Source organism: Homo sapiens, chromosome 2, assembly GCF_000001405.40.
Source record: "Homo sapiens chromosome 2, GRCh38.p14 Primary Assembly".
NCBI lineage: Eukaryota > Metazoa > Chordata > Mammalia > Primates > Hominidae > Homo > Homo sapiens.
Genome location: NC_000002.12, coordinates 37230101 through 37244742, shown reverse-complemented (window position 1 = coordinate 37244742; position 14642 = coordinate 37230101). Strand labels below are relative to the sequence as shown.

At 41.2% G+C, this 14642-nt stretch overlaps 2 protein-coding genes across 20 annotated transcripts in view, besides 2 other annotated features; one reads left to right on the top strand and one right to left on the bottom strand.

The window, feature by feature from the left end:
- The window catches only part of NDUFAF7 (NADH:ubiquinone oxidoreductase complex assembly factor 7), a 39708-nt gene extending 26623 nt beyond the window's left edge, over window positions 1–13085 (bottom strand). For 5 of the 19 annotated variants that reach the window (NR_146402.2, NR_146409.3, NR_146408.2 and 2 more), the window contains exons 1-7: window positions 12983–13085; window positions 12477–12637; window positions 8567–8647; window positions 6876–6986; window positions 2952–3165; window positions 2050–2108; window positions 770–880 (exon numbers count right to left, since the gene is read on the bottom strand). Coding sequence is in view for 7 of the 19 variants with exons in the window: in NM_144736.5 (NP_653337.1) it covers window positions 770–880; window positions 2050–2108; window positions 2952–3165; window positions 6876–6986; window positions 8567–8647; window positions 12477–12637; window positions 12983–13037 (792 nt within the window). In the remaining 12 variants the exon portion in view is untranslated. Of the gene's footprint in view, window positions 1–769; window positions 881–2049; window positions 2109–2318; window positions 3166–6875; window positions 6987–8566; window positions 8648–12476; window positions 12638–12863; window positions 12911–12982 lie in introns of those variants that run through there. The other 14 variants (NR_146405.2, XR_007077548.1, XR_007077549.1 and 11 more) reach the window with 10 other exon arrangements.
- Window positions 12603–13802: an enhancer, noted in NCBI's record as "CDK7 strongly-dependent group 2 enhancer chr2:37458084-37459283 (GRCh37/hg19 assembly coordinates)". NCBI's record gives its function as "activates an origin of replication core promoter dependent on BRD2, BRD4, P300/CBP, MED14 and CDK7 cofactors, with strong dependence on CDK7, by STARR-seq in HCT116 cells {active_cell/tissue: HCT116}" and the evidence as "EXISTENCE:reporter gene assay evidence [ECO:0000049][PMID:35650434]".
- Window positions 13147–14642, top strand: part of CEBPZ (CCAAT enhancer binding protein zeta) — a 29985-nt gene continuing 28489 nt past the window's right edge. The window contains exon 1 of the mRNA NM_005760.3: window positions 13147–13331. Within this exon, the coding sequence (NP_005751.2) occupies window positions 13176–13331 (156 nt within the window). The 5' untranslated portion in view covers window positions 13147–13175. The remainder of the gene's footprint in view (window positions 13332–14642) is intronic.
- Window positions 13196–13645: an enhancer, noted in NCBI's record as "active region_15581". NCBI's record gives its function as "activates an Ori minimal core promoter by ATAC-STARR-seq in GM12878 lymphoblastoid cells {active_cell/tissue: GM12878}" and the evidence as "EXISTENCE:reporter gene assay evidence [ECO:0000049][PMID:35858748]".

The following is a 14642-nucleotide window of genomic DNA, read 5'->3' as shown; positions in this document are numbered from 1 at the left end:
ATACATTTAAGTTTAAAAGCTCTTGTGCTTTTAAAACTGATAATTTCTAAGTAAGAAGTTCTCAGTTAAGGTCCAGAAAGTAAAAATCATCTTCTGAGCTGGAAAAAAAGGATTAAAAAAAAAGAGGCAGTCTGAAGCCTGGACGTTCCTGAGAAGTACAGGGATTTTTTTGTACCTTTAAACAAGCCACAATAGACAGGCTCTTGCAATGATTCCTTGAGATCAACAGAAAGCAGTAGTAATTCTACCATTCTGGCCGAATCAAACTGAGATCTGTGTGGAAGCATGGGATAAAAGCCATGCTGTAGCCCAAAGAAGGATAATAATAGAACCTACCTAATATAGTTGCTTTGAGAATTAAATGAGAAAACAGAGTAACACAAAGTACTCAACAAACGTTAGCTGTTATTGTTAATTTACTATAGTCTGTACTACATTGCTTTCACAGATGTAAACTCTTCCTGTGGACAATACCATTACCATTTGACATGAAACTGAGATAAGCAGTGAAAGTAAGAGACTTGGCTGAGTAAGCGGTTACTTACTTTCTCTTACTACATGACGTTAAGGTCACACACTTAAGAAATGATTTTAACCCATGCTCCTGCCTCTAGCTCCTCTGCACTTTCACTGTCAATAAAAAGCACCTCGTATGCTACTAGCAACTCTTCCTGTAAAGGAACTCTAAAACTCTAAAGTAGTAACTCAGAAAATAAGACTTTGAAGATTCTGTGAGCAATAAAAGAAACTTAAAAAAGCATATTCTTACTTGTATGAAGGCTTCTGCTGGGGTGGCAGAAGGTGCCAAAACAAACCTCAGTTTATCAGAAACCTGTGGATCAATGTCAACAAATACTTCTCGCCATCCCTGTGGTGTTTTCTAAACACAAAATAACACATAAAAACAAATTTTTGCAAGTTTGTTCTCTACATTGCTTCTACCAAAAATAGCTTTTTCTCCTCTTACCATAAGTAACTAACATTTACAGAGAACTTACTATTTAAAATTACTTAAATTCATTACTTCATTGCCTTTGAACAATGAGTAGACCAATCGATGCAAAAGAAACAATAACAGAGATGACGCTGTGGAAGATAAAATCAGCAGCATGGAAAGTACCCCAAAAACGGAAATAGACTCAGGAAGAACAGCCAGAAGCTTTACTAACAAATTACTACAGGATCATGAGAGCTGCTCTTCTCCTCACAAATTACCAGTACATATACATTATCACCAAATCTTAAATCTCCTCACAGAAAGAATGAAGAAAAGTTTTATTATTTTTTTTTTGAGACAAGCTCTCGCTTTGTTGCCCAGGCTGGAGTGCAGTGGTGCAATCTCAGCTCACTGCAACCTCTGCCTCCTGGGTTCAAGTGATTCTCATGCCTCAGCCTCCCTAGTAGCTGGGAAGTACAGGCACGTGCCACCAAGCCCAGATAATTTTTCTATTTTTAGTAGACACAGGGTTTTGTCATGTTGGCCAGGCTGGTCTTGAACTCCTGACCTCAAGTGATTCACCCACCTCGCCCTCCCAAAGTGCTGAGATTACAGGTGTAAGCCACCATGCCTGGCCCAAAAAAGTTTAATCTATAATTTTTTAAAATGTGCTAAGGTTGGCTGGGTGCAGTGGCGCACACCTGTAGTCCCAGCTCCTTGGGATGCTGAGGCAGGATGAACACTTGAGCCCTGGAGTTCAAGACCAGCCTGGGCAACATAGCAATACCCTATCTCTTAAAAAAGAAAATTTTTTTTTTGCTTAAGTAAATCCTTCATTGCACCACAGCCAGTTACCATCTTACCATTTTTCATTCCCTTACTTCTTCAAATCAGAAGAATTAAGAATTCTTAATAATTATCCCAGGAGAACTAACAATTCTCATTAATATTTCATTTTTTGCTTTTGAATTATTTGTGTACCAAAATTCCAAATAATAGTTAAAAATAACCTCAACAAGTAAAATTTGTATACTGAATAAATACCATAAACATTGGCAACACAATGCCTTTTGTATTCAATTATAGACATGACTTTTTTCCCCCCTCAATACCTGAAATTTATGCACAGGAAGAACATCAAAAAATTCATGTGCAAGATAAAAGCTGTACCCTATTTAAAAAGAGGAAAACAATTAATGTTTCCACATTTCACAGGAATTAATTCTTTTGAATATTAACTGTAAAAAAAATGCCTACTTCCTCCATAATCATCACTACCACAGAATTATCTACCTCTTCATGGAAAACTTACACTGCAGAACATAGAACAATTATTACTATTCTTATTTTACACATAAATGGGGTCAGAAAATGGAAATACCTGAAATAGCAGTTAAAGCTTTTATTCATCACAAGGCTTGAAAGAAATTAGAAGTCAGAGTTGTTAGCTGGAAGGGAATTTGATTTCATAAAATCGGGCTTCTCAGCCTGAGAAGGCTGAGGCAGGAATGGCTTGAGATCCCTTACCCAAGATCGTACCCCCACTTTGGCTTTGAGTCAAGACTCAAACTAGTCAATACTAGTCAGTATTCCTGACTAGTACAGGGATTTTCCCCCACACCTTGCTTGTCTTTAGGCAAGTAAGGATTTTTTAAAAGACTCTATAACTGAACTAAACCCACCTACTAACACTGCTTCCATCAGCCCCAGCTGCCTTGGGCTGCTCCGTCATCGGTACAACCCTAGCTATAGGGAAATACTCAAAAGTACAAAGGAGATTTACATTTTGTTTGGGATTTTACAAAGCTTCATGAAATAAACTACTACTTAATGTCAGGCAACTTTATTTTCTATTAAGATGCTCTTTTCTAGAAAAAAGTAGGCTACTCTCTATGGATAAGGGACTTGGCAGCAGTAACTCAATCTATTATATTGCTGTAAAAAGTTACAGTCCCATCAATACTGTGAGGGTTGTGATCAAAATTCTTTCATTAATCCACATAAAGGTAATTACCTTTTGGAACATCGTGCAGATCTCGGTACCAGGAAATTGGAATCCCAGACTTAGTGACACCTTTCATATACACTGGGGATCCAGCATTTCGCTCTAACGGGACCTTCTCTTTAGTCAGTGTCAATGCTTGAATCTCACTTAATTTTTGGCTTACCTCTACCAGATGTACTGAAATGTCACAATTTTTCAGCACAGATCCAAGTTGAGTGAACACCTAAATACCAAAAGAAGAAAAAAAAATACAATGTGTTAAGTAGGTTTTAAGTTTCCTAATCATTTACATCAATGATTTAGTCATGTCACAATAGAGGTAATATTTCAGAGAGATGTGTTCCTTACCCAAGCCACTCTCCAGCAGTCTATAAGAATCCTAACCTACTAGTTATTAAGCATAATCTAAATAAGAAATGAACAATGCACAATTTGGTTTCCTAATGATAAATTATGATTAACAAATGAAAATAAAAGATTTGGCATCTGATAAAAACAATGATTCAGATTATGGAGTCTAAAAAAAGACCAAGGAAATAAAATGTACACAGCCTTGATTTGATAACATCTCTAGGTCTAGGAAGTAATCTCATCTTTGAGATGATGAGAACTCTAACCTCAAAGAACCAAATCTGAATGGTACTGAAAACCTGACTGCTTAACTCGGGGGTCTGCCACATTTTCAATCTATATTTAGCTACACATTTTTTCACTGTTGTAAACATGCAAGGGAAAAAGGAAAATACTAATATTTTACCAATCTTTTAAGGCTAAAAAATCAATAGCAAAAGCATAAAGTGTATCAACATTATTTTTCATTTGAATTTAATTTCTACTGGTGATCTGCCTCCAATTAATACTTTTGAGATATGAATATGCACATCCAGACTGATAATATGAACAAGATGATTTTTCCAAATTTAGTTTTGAGATCGAAATACAAATGGAAAAACTTCCCAGGAGAAATTCCTTCAGAAGGTAACATCAAAAATAAAACAGGTCTGACACTTCTCTGGCTATTTGCTTTACAACCCTTTAAATTCTTTGGCTTTTAGGACTTCTTATGACTCAGTCTGGAAAAGCATCCTTCATACATTTTAAGGGCTCTGGAATCAACTTTTAAAGTACTTGAACAAGAGAATATGATTTGAGGTCCTTATTAAATATTTTATATTCAAATGACCTTGCTGAAAAACATAAAATAGAGCCCTGGAAATTTAAATTCGTGATTTTGTTTTCTTTCTTCACCCAAATAATCAAGATTCTTATTTGTCATATGTTTATATATTTTATATATTTTTTAAATCCTTTAATTTCTAATTTAAAGCAAAAACCATAAAGCATCAAGAAATTTAAATTTATATTGAGTATGTGTTGGTGTTTTTTGGTTTTTTTTTTGAGACAGGGTCTCACTTTGTTACTCAGAGGCATAATCACAGCTCACTGCAGCCTCAACCTCCTGGGCTCAAGCAATCCTCCCATCTCAGCCCCTCAACTAGCTTCGACCACAGACGCATGCTACCACGACTGGGTAATTTTTGTATTTTTTGTAGAGATGGAGTTTCACCGTATTGCCCAAGCTGATCTTGAACTTTGGGAGCCTCGAACTCCCAAAGTGCTGCGATTACAGGCATGGGCCACTGCGCCCAGCCATGTTTGTTTTTTACATTGAATTGTCAAGTACATATAAAATAAACTCAAAAACACTAATGAGTTCCAAAATACTAAAAACTACAAAAGTTTAATAAATACTATTACTTATCAGGTACTATAAACAACTGTCCTCCTTTTTAATGTTTTCATAAAATAGTACGTAGACTGATAGAAACAATGATACAAGAGAGAATATCTACCATAAATGGGACATGACCTTATCTCCAAAGCCCCTGTGGACTCCCTCTACCCTTGGAAGTCACCACCATTCTGAATCTTGAGTTAATAACACCCTGACTTTTCTTTATAAATGTTACTAAATATATTTTTATCACCAAATACATATTGTTTAATGTTGACTATTTTTTGGATTTTATATAAATACAATCATATGATACGAACTCTTGCAAACTGCTACTTTCACACATCTTGTTTCATGTTGAACACTGTTATATTCCACTGTGATTTCACGCATTCTTGCAGTACTTCGTATTCCACTGTATGACTATACCACAATTAACTGATTCATTTACCCCCCGATGGGCATTTGTGCTGTTATTTTCCGCTATTTTATACAATGCTGCTATCTTCTTGTATGTGTCTCCTGGTACACATATACACTAGTTTCTCTAGGGTATATCACTAGCAGTAAAATTGCTGGGTCATACAATATAAGAAACTTTGATGTTAATAGATAATGGCCAATAGCTTTTCAAAAAGGTTGTACAAGGCTGGGTACGGGGGCTCATGCCTGTAATCCCAGCACTCTGGGAGGCCGAGGCAGGCGGACCACTTCAAGCCAAGAGTTCAAGATCAGCCTGGCCAGCATGGTAAAACCCCTTCTCTACTAAAAATAAAAAAATTAGCCGGGTGTAGTGATCCACGCCTATTATCCCTGCTACTCAAGAGGCTGAGGGACAAGAATCGCCTGAACCTGGGAGGCAGAGGTTGCAGTGAGCCAAGATCGTACCACTGCACTCCAGCCTGAGTGACAAAGTGAGACTGTGTCTCAAAAAAAAAAAAAAAAAAGAGAAAGAAAAAAGGATGTACTAAATTATAGTTTTACAAGCAGTATATGAGAGTTGCCATTGATCCACAAATCCACATCTTCACCAATACTTGGTGTTGACAGACTTTTAGCTTTTTTTTCTAATCTGGCAAGGGTTACAGTAGTATCTCATTGTGATTTTAATTTTCATCTTCCTGACTACCAATGTGACTAATCTTTTTTTTTTTTTTTTTGCTTTTTTAGCCGTTTGTATTTTCCTCTTTTATGAATGGACTTGTTCACATCTTTGGCCTGATTTTTCTCAAGTTATCTGTCTTCTTACTGACCTAAAGGAGTTATTTAAATAATTCTAACTACTAGTTCTCTGTTGGTTACGTGTTACAAATAACTTCTCCCACTCTGTGGCTTGTCTAATCACTCTCTTAATGGGGTCTCTGAAGAACAAAAAGCTGCTAGTTTATTTGTAGAGCAAGAAGTTTTTAATTTTAATGTAAGAAATGAAATATTAATCTTTTGCTTTATGCCTTCTGCTTTTTTTTTTTTTAATATAAAAAGAGACGAGGTCTTGCTTTGTTGGCCAGGTTGGTCTTGAACTCTTGGCCTCAAGCAATCCTCCCACCTTGGCCCCCCAAAGTGCTACGATTACAGGCATGAGCCACTTTGCCCAGCCTAAACTTTTTTTTTTTTTTGAGACGGAGTCTCGCTCTGTCACCAGGCTGGAGTGCAATGGCGCAATCTCAGCTCTGCAATCAATCACTGCAGCAATCACTGCAACCTCTGCCTCCTGGGTTCAAGCGATTCCCTGCCTCAGCCTCCTGAGTAGCTGGATTACAGATGCACACCACCATGCCCAGCTAATTTTTGTATTTTTACTAGAGACGGGGTTTCACTATGTTGGTCAGGCTGGTCTCGAACTCCTGACCTTGTGATCTGCCCACCTTGGCCTCTCAAAGTGCTAGGATTGAGCCACCATGCCTGGCCTAAACTTTTAATATAATTAACAACTTTCCTTCCTGAGGAAACAAATACACTCTCCCATAATGTCTTCTAAATGTTTCCTATTTTTAGCTTTCATATTCTCCCCCTCCCCTCCAATTTTTAAGTTTACAGACAACAGTAAGTAATGACTGATTACATTATTCTGACATTATATTTTAGCTGAGAAATATGAAATTAAGGAACTGAAAACCAATGAAATCAACATGGTTTGCACACTCAGAAGTACTAAAATTCACTTATATGAGACTAGAAGACATTCTTTTATTACCTACCCTCAAAATATCTCCCACGAGGGTTCCCCTACCTGGGCCCAGTTCCACCAGCTGGAAAGCTGTGCTTTTTCCAGTGGCCATCCATTCACTAATGAACCATATACCTAGTAGCTGTGAAAAGGGAAAAAAAAAACACATATTAAAGTATTATAAAGTATAAAAGTATACCACAATATAAAATTTCACATAAATATGCACTATATGCCAAAAAGCAAAATGTGTACAGCCATATGTATGTTGTTCAATACATACGTACATGTTCACATAGGAACTTCCTGGGACTACATCATAACATACACCATTTAGGAAGATTAATAGGAAAAAATAAGGCAGCCTCTGCTATAAAAGGTCCCATGACATAGATAAGAGGATATCACTAGCAGAAAGGTATTAGTATTTGAAAGCAAATAAACATATGAAATGTGATTATGCCATTTCTTCATATTCATATGATTTAAACAATTACATGATTCTTATAATAACTAATGTTTTTCGATACGCACATTCTACTTCCTCGTATACACTATTTCCTATTTCTAAATTCATAGAAGGTACTTAGTGGAAATGAATTAGAATTCTGTTTATTAAAGGAAGACTTGGCTGGGCGTGGTGGCTCACGCCTATAATCCCAGCACTTTGGGAGGCTGAGGCGGGTGGACCACCTGAGGTCGGGAGTTCAAGACCAGCCTGACCAACATGGAGAAACTCTGTCTCTACTAAAAATACAAAATTAGCCAGGAGTGGTGGCACATGCCTGTAATCCCAGCTACTCGGGAGGCTGAGGCAGGAGAATCGCTTGAACCCGGGAAGCAGAGGTTACAGTGAGCCGAGATTGCGCCACTACACTCCAGCCTGGGCAATAAGAGCAAAACCCTGGCTCAAAAAATAGATAAATAAAAGAAGACTTTTACTGTAAGTACGGCTAAAATCATGACTGGGAGCTTTAGAGCTTCTCTTAATTCCACTAATTCTTCAATGCTCTTTATCTTTTCTCTCTTCCTTCCCGGGCACTCTCCTGGGCACTCTACCTCTTTCCTCGCCTTTCCTTTTGTCTCTCTTCCTTCTTCCATTCTCTTTTTTTTTTTTTGAGACGGAGTTTTGCTCAGTCGCCGAGGCTGGAGTGCAGTGGCGCCATCTTGGCTCACTGCAAGCTCCGCCTCCCGGGTTCACGCCATTCTCCTGCCTCAGCCTCCCAAGTAGCTGGGACTACAGGCGACCGCCACCACGCTCGGCTAATTTTTTGTATTTTTTTTTTAGTAGAGACTGCGTTTCACCGTGTTAGCCAGGACGGTCTTGATCTCCTGACCTTGTGATCCGCCTGCCTCGGCCTCCCAAAGTGCTGGGATTACAGGTGTGAGCCACTACGCCTGGCCCCTTCTTCCATTCTCTTCCTTCATCTGATTCTCCTTTTTCTGTCCTCTTTATGACCCCCTCCTTTCCTTCTCTTTCTCTTTGTCCCTCTTATCTCTCCATTTCCCTTCCTACAGTGGAGTATAAACTTTTCAAATATTCTCTCTACCATTTTACTCCCCTCTACTGCCTCTCTATTCCCTCAGTACATAAACTACTATAAAGTTAAAACTTTTGATGAATCACAAAAAAAGCTGTAGAACACTACTACAGAATAATACAATTTGATCTGCTCTCAAATGTTTATATTAGCTTCATTCATACTTTACATAGTATATTACCTCCCCAAAGATTTGACTTATTTCAGGTGAAGTAATGAAATCTCCTTTTTCGCCTAGCATGTCACGGTACACATAATAACCCTGAGTAAAAAGAGAAAATAGAGAAACAAAATTAATTTTCAAATAAGCCTTTTAAAAATACCCCTCCAAAATCTTAAATAATGTAAAAGTGAAATAATTATTTAGTAAGAAAGTTCTCTCCTCTAAATAAGCAAGGGGAGCCAGGTGTGGTGGCTCATGCCTGTAATCCCAGCACTTTGGGAGGCCGAGACGGGTGGATCACGAAGTCAGGAGATTGAGACCATCCTGCCTAACATGGTGAAACCCCATCTCTACTAAAAACAATACAAAAAAATTAGCCGGGCATGGTGGAGGGTGCCCGTAGTCCCAGCTATTTGGGAGGCTGAGGCAGGAAAATGGCGTGAACCTCGGAGGCAGAGCTTGCAGTAAGCCGAGATCGCGCCACTGCACTCCAGCCTAGGTGACAAAGTGAGACTCCATCTCAAAAAATAAATAAATAAATAAATAAATAAATAAGCAAGGGAAATATGGTGTCTTTACCCAAATTTTACAAAGTAACAGTCATTTTACAAAACCGGTAGAAAAACAATTACACCTTGACCGTAAAGGCAGAAGTCATGTAACGTCCATCTCTGCACGCCAGACCCTTCCTCCCCTCCCAGCTCCCACACCCAACACAGCAAGACCCTGCCTACTCCTCCAGCCTCCTCTCCAAATTCTAACACTTTCTGCCTCACATATGGGCCCTGCCTGCTGGTGATGTTCTGTTTCTTGATTTGGGTGCTGGTTACATGGGAGCATTTGCTTTGTGAAAATTCATTGAGCTGTAAACTTGTGGTTTATGAACTTTTCTATATGAATATTATATCTCCAGAAAAAGGGTTGTTTTTTTTTTTCTTATTAGCCTTGCTTGTCCAGACATCCATGCCACTGCAAATCCTCACCCTTCTCCCTTTTCAACTTTCCCTGGCAGTCTTATACTCAACCTCCGAATCTGCTCAAATGCCACCTAGCTGACCTCCTCCAGCCCTCCAACCTAAGGCCAAATCCAGTGCCACCTTTTCTGAGCTAATTTGTCTCTGTTCTTCACCACAAAGTATAGTTGTTTGCAGAAGATCATGCCTTATTTATCTTCATATCCCAAGTTTTAGCACGATGCCTAACCTTCAAGAAACACTCAAGAATTGAGTTAAATATTTCTTATGCTTCTCAAGCTCCTATTCTACCACCTTACTACAGGTGACATGGGCCCCAGTCTCACTCCAGAATTAAAGAATGTTATAAAATACGAATTCCTCAGCTTCCCATCCCCACCTGGCCTCTAACCTAATCTGGGGACTCCAAGAATGAAATGCCTTCCCCTTCTCCTCTCATCCAAACCTAATCCCTCCGCCTGTGCTCTGGACCATTCCTCATACAACTCCCCTGAGTCCTTTTAGCTGTCCCCTTCTCTCTTCCAGCTTCAACTTTCCCCCTTCAGCATTCAAAATAAATCAAGTCACTCCCATTTTTGAGAACATTTTTTCAATCCACACATCTCTTCTTCTAGGCTTTCTAGTTCCGTTCATAAGGAAACATTATTGGGGTATTTACGCTTTTTTGTGTTATGAACCACTGTGGTAGCCCAGTGATGCCTATAGACCCCTTCACAGAGTGTTTTTAAATGCACAGAACCACAAAGAAATAACTGAAAAATGTGTATCAAATGTTCTAAAAAATGTGATATATACACTTCTTTACTAGTGTATTAAAAAAATATAATTAGGCCGCGCACAGTGGCTCACACCTGTAATCCCAACACTTTAGGAGGCTGAGACAGGCGGATCATATGAGGCCAGGAGTTCAAGACCAGCCTGGCCAACAAGGCAAAACCCGATCTCCATTGAAAATACAAAAAACCTAGCTGGGCATGGAAACATACACCTGTAATCCCAACTACTCGGGAGGCTGAGGCACAAGAATCCTTTGAACCTTGAAGGTGGAGGTTGCAGTGAGCCAAGATTGCACTACTGCACTCCAGCCTGGGTGACAGAATGAGACTCTATCTCAAAAAGCCAACAAACAAAAAAGCCCATAATCAAGCCAAAGACCCAATAATTAACAAAATTTTGAAGTAAGGATGAGCACGATGAAATCCTGAGATGCCTGTGATCACTGTATTGTGATAAGGAAATACCAATGATTTCCACAGATGACAAAGTCACAGGTATTGCTGATGCTACTAGTTGCTGCGTATGTTCATAATTGAAGAAATGCTAAATTTCAGTTGAAAGTTAGTGAAAATAAAGGTATAATATTTTTTCCATCCAGCTTCATGAAACCCCTGATTTCTATTAAAGGGTCCCTAGGTTAAGAGCCTCTACATTTTAGAGTTACCCCTACTCTCAATGCTGGGAAACCTTCCTTTCTCTCAGTATGTTCTCCCTGGTTCCTTGGCTTTAAATATGACCTATATGCTGATGACGAGCAAATGTATATATGCCTGCCCAGTCTTTCTTCTGAACACCAGGCTCACTTTTTTTTTTTTTTTTTTTGAGACAGAGTCTCGCTCTGTTGCCCAGGCTGGAGTGCAATGGCGAAATCTAGGCTCACTGCAACCTCTGCGTCCCGGGTTCAAGCGATTCTCCTGCCTCCTGACTAGCTGGGATTACAGGCACAAGCCACCACGCCCGGCTAATTTTTGTATTTTTAATAGAGACGGGGTTTCACCAAGTTGGTCAGGCTGGTCTCAAACTCCTGACCTCGTGATCCACCCGCCTTGGCCTCCCAAAGTGCTGGGATTACAGGCGTGAGCCGCCACGTCCGGCCCTGAACGCCAGACTCTTACAGCGAATTGCCTACTTTCTATCTCCACCTGCATGTCACTGCTAACAAAATATGTATAAAATGCAGCTCCTGGTGTAGGCCCTCTCCCTAGTACTCCTCCAAACCTGGTCCTGTCTGTCTTAATCTCAATAAAAGGTACCATCATCACCCAACTGCTCAAGCTAAAAGTACGAATCAGCCTTGATTCCTCCGTTCCATCACTCAATCCATCGGCAAATCCTGTCAGTCCCTTTCTAAATCACCCTCTTCTATTTCTAGTACCACCACACTAGTCTAAGCCACCTATCTTGCAGCCCTGCCTAACCGGCATCGAAAGAAAGATACCGGCCTTGGGTAAACCTCGACACTAGAGTCACACTACCATATCCAACAACAATGGCCAATCTAACCCCAGAATTCCACAGAGGTCATATTTCAACCCAGCAAAAGATGAAATATTCTAAAATAAAGGACTATAGGCTTTCACCAAATGGCTCTGTAGAACAGACAAGGAAACGTGGGTCAGAAAGCTGTGACTGTGCCTAATCCTAGAACAGTGAAGACGACCCAGACTGCATTCTCAACTGCACATGTGAGAAAACCCAGCACATGTCTCCAATGCCAGCTGAAGCCATTCCAACACAGACGACTTTCCAGGCAGTAATTCCTATTTCCAGCTGCCTGTTGGAGATTTCTACCTAAGAGTCCCACACACTTCAAATTCATATACCAGCCTGAACTCTCCATCCTTCCTCCCGTATTCCTTCTCCCAAAGCAATGAATCCACACCACCCACCATCAGCCAAGTAGGAAAGTCATCCTTCCCGCATCATAAATCCAATCAGCTACATTCTGTCTCCTAAACACCCTTGGACCGTGTCCTCTCCTCTTTACTGGCACTGCCTCTGACGTGAGCCAGCCCTGACCAACTGACAAATTATCTGTCCCCAGGTCCTCAGAAATGGCTCTTCCCCTGGCAGGCACCCCCACTGCCTGGGCTGAGAACCTTCGGGCTTCTCCCTCCTGGCTTGCACCTCGCAAATCGGCTAGAGAGGGCCTAGTCCTCGGGCTACCCGACCCATACCTTGGCTGGATTAGTCAACACCTCCTTCATGTACTCGGCCACAGTGATGGGACCAGTAGACTTTATTTTGTACATAAGATGCCGCAGCATCGGCGTCACCGGGTTTTCTGCAGGCTCATTCCCGGAGCTGAAGTATTTCCCTCTCCAAATAAAAGGAATGGCTGCGAAAAACACAAATTAAACAGACCCCATGATAAATCTGACCATTCACGAGCGCAAGCCGCCTGAGCGTTTTCAAAACAGCTTCGTGAACCCTTAACCTCGCCCCACCGCAGACCGCGGGCTACTGTGCTTAGCACGCCCACGGGGCGCAGAGACAGCACCCACTTGCCCACGACTACGCAGCCCTATTGCGTTTGTACCGGACCCGTTTCCAGCCCAGGGTACCTTCAAGGTGGAAGTGAGCCCCCGAGCCCTTGATCCCCCGGTACCCTCAACTGAAGAGCTGAGGAAGGCGCCCCACGCGGCTTCCACGGCAACCGGGCTTCGAGGGGACTGACGCTTACCTGCGCGCGCCACGGCACACAACGGCCCCAAACCTGACCTCAGCAGTACACTCATGCTGAAATTCGCAGGCTAGCTCGCTCCGCCAGGAGCTGGGGCTTAGACCATTTCCGGGAGAAGACACGCCCCGACAGGAATTACGCCACTGGCAGAGCGGAAATAGGCTGAGTTTCACGCGCGTATGCTTTGCCCGCCATGGCCGCAGTCAAGGAGCCTTTGGAGTTCCATGCCAAGCGGCCTTGGCGCCCCGAGGAGGCAGTAGAAGATCCGGACGAGGAGGATGAGGATAATACTAGTGAAGCCGAGAATGGGTTCTCCCTGGAGGAAGTGTTACGGCTCGGAGGCACCAAGGTAACGGCCGCGGGCTCCGGGGAACGGGATCAGGCGTGGAGAGTTCCGAAGGTGGCTAGGCTGACTGCCCCGCCGCTTCCGCGCTGCGTAGAGCGCGGGCGTCCAGGACCGAGATCCCAGCCTCTGAAGCATGTGTTCGGTGCGCTTCCCACGCCGGTTTCCACTGCTGTTTACAAAAGAAAAGTTTCGAATTGAACGTTGTATTCTCTGGCTATTCTTAGGATGTAGGCGATCTTCTGATTTTATTGACGTGGTATAACCATCACACCATCAGGTCGGAGAGTGGCTTTTCTTGGTCCTGACCTTGTGGTATGAGTGTTTTGAACACCAGTGGTATTGGAATTTTCATTTCTGTTCTCATAGAGTACATGCACGTGTCACTGTATGCCCCAGAAGCCCTCTTTTTTGGAGCATCCTAATTAAGGGAGAGAAACAGTAAACAAACTTTTAAACACATAGTACAGCAGACGCGGGGTAGTGCTATAAAAGAAAATAAAACAAGGAAGGACGATAAGGAGTGGGAGCGCGTTAGTATTAAATGAGATGATCGACAAACACATCACGGAAATGTTTGAGCAGAATCCTAAAGGACAGGAAGGAGTGAGCTGCCATTCCAGTCAGTTGGAACAGCAAATGCAAAGACAGGCAGAAGAGTGCCTAACCTATTCCATGAGCAGCCAAAATGCCAGTGTAGCAGAGGCAGAGTGAGTTAAGGGGAGAATAGTAAGAAAGGAGGGCCGAGGGGTCAGAGGGCAGGCTTTTGCTCTGAGTTTGATGCAAAACCACTGGAAGATTTTAAGCAGATAAGGAACAGAAATTAACTTTGTTTTTAATATTATTTTGTTTGGAGACTGGACTTTCAAGGTGGAGGAGTTAGTTAGAGATAGGCAGATTCACAGTTTGCTCTGTGCTTGTGTATATTTAAGTTTTGAATAGGTAATATATACACATGAAACACGTGGTGCAAACTTTAAAAGATACATAGTGAAGTCAAATTGTTTCCACTTTTATCTCAGCCATAACCATTGCCCTGATAGGAAGCAATTATTTTTACAACTGCATTTTATATCTTTCAGGGATACTATATACCTTTTCAAGCATATACATACTCATTTATGTGTATGAAATACGGGTGTATCTTTTTTACATAAATGGTACCATATATATACACCTATCTCTACATTTTGCTTTCTTTTCTGTCTTAGAAATCCTTCTATATCAGTGCATAACGTTCTGTGTCATTGCTATGGCTGCATAAATCATTTTGTCTGTCTTAATTTATCTAACCAGCCATTTATTGTGAATATTTAA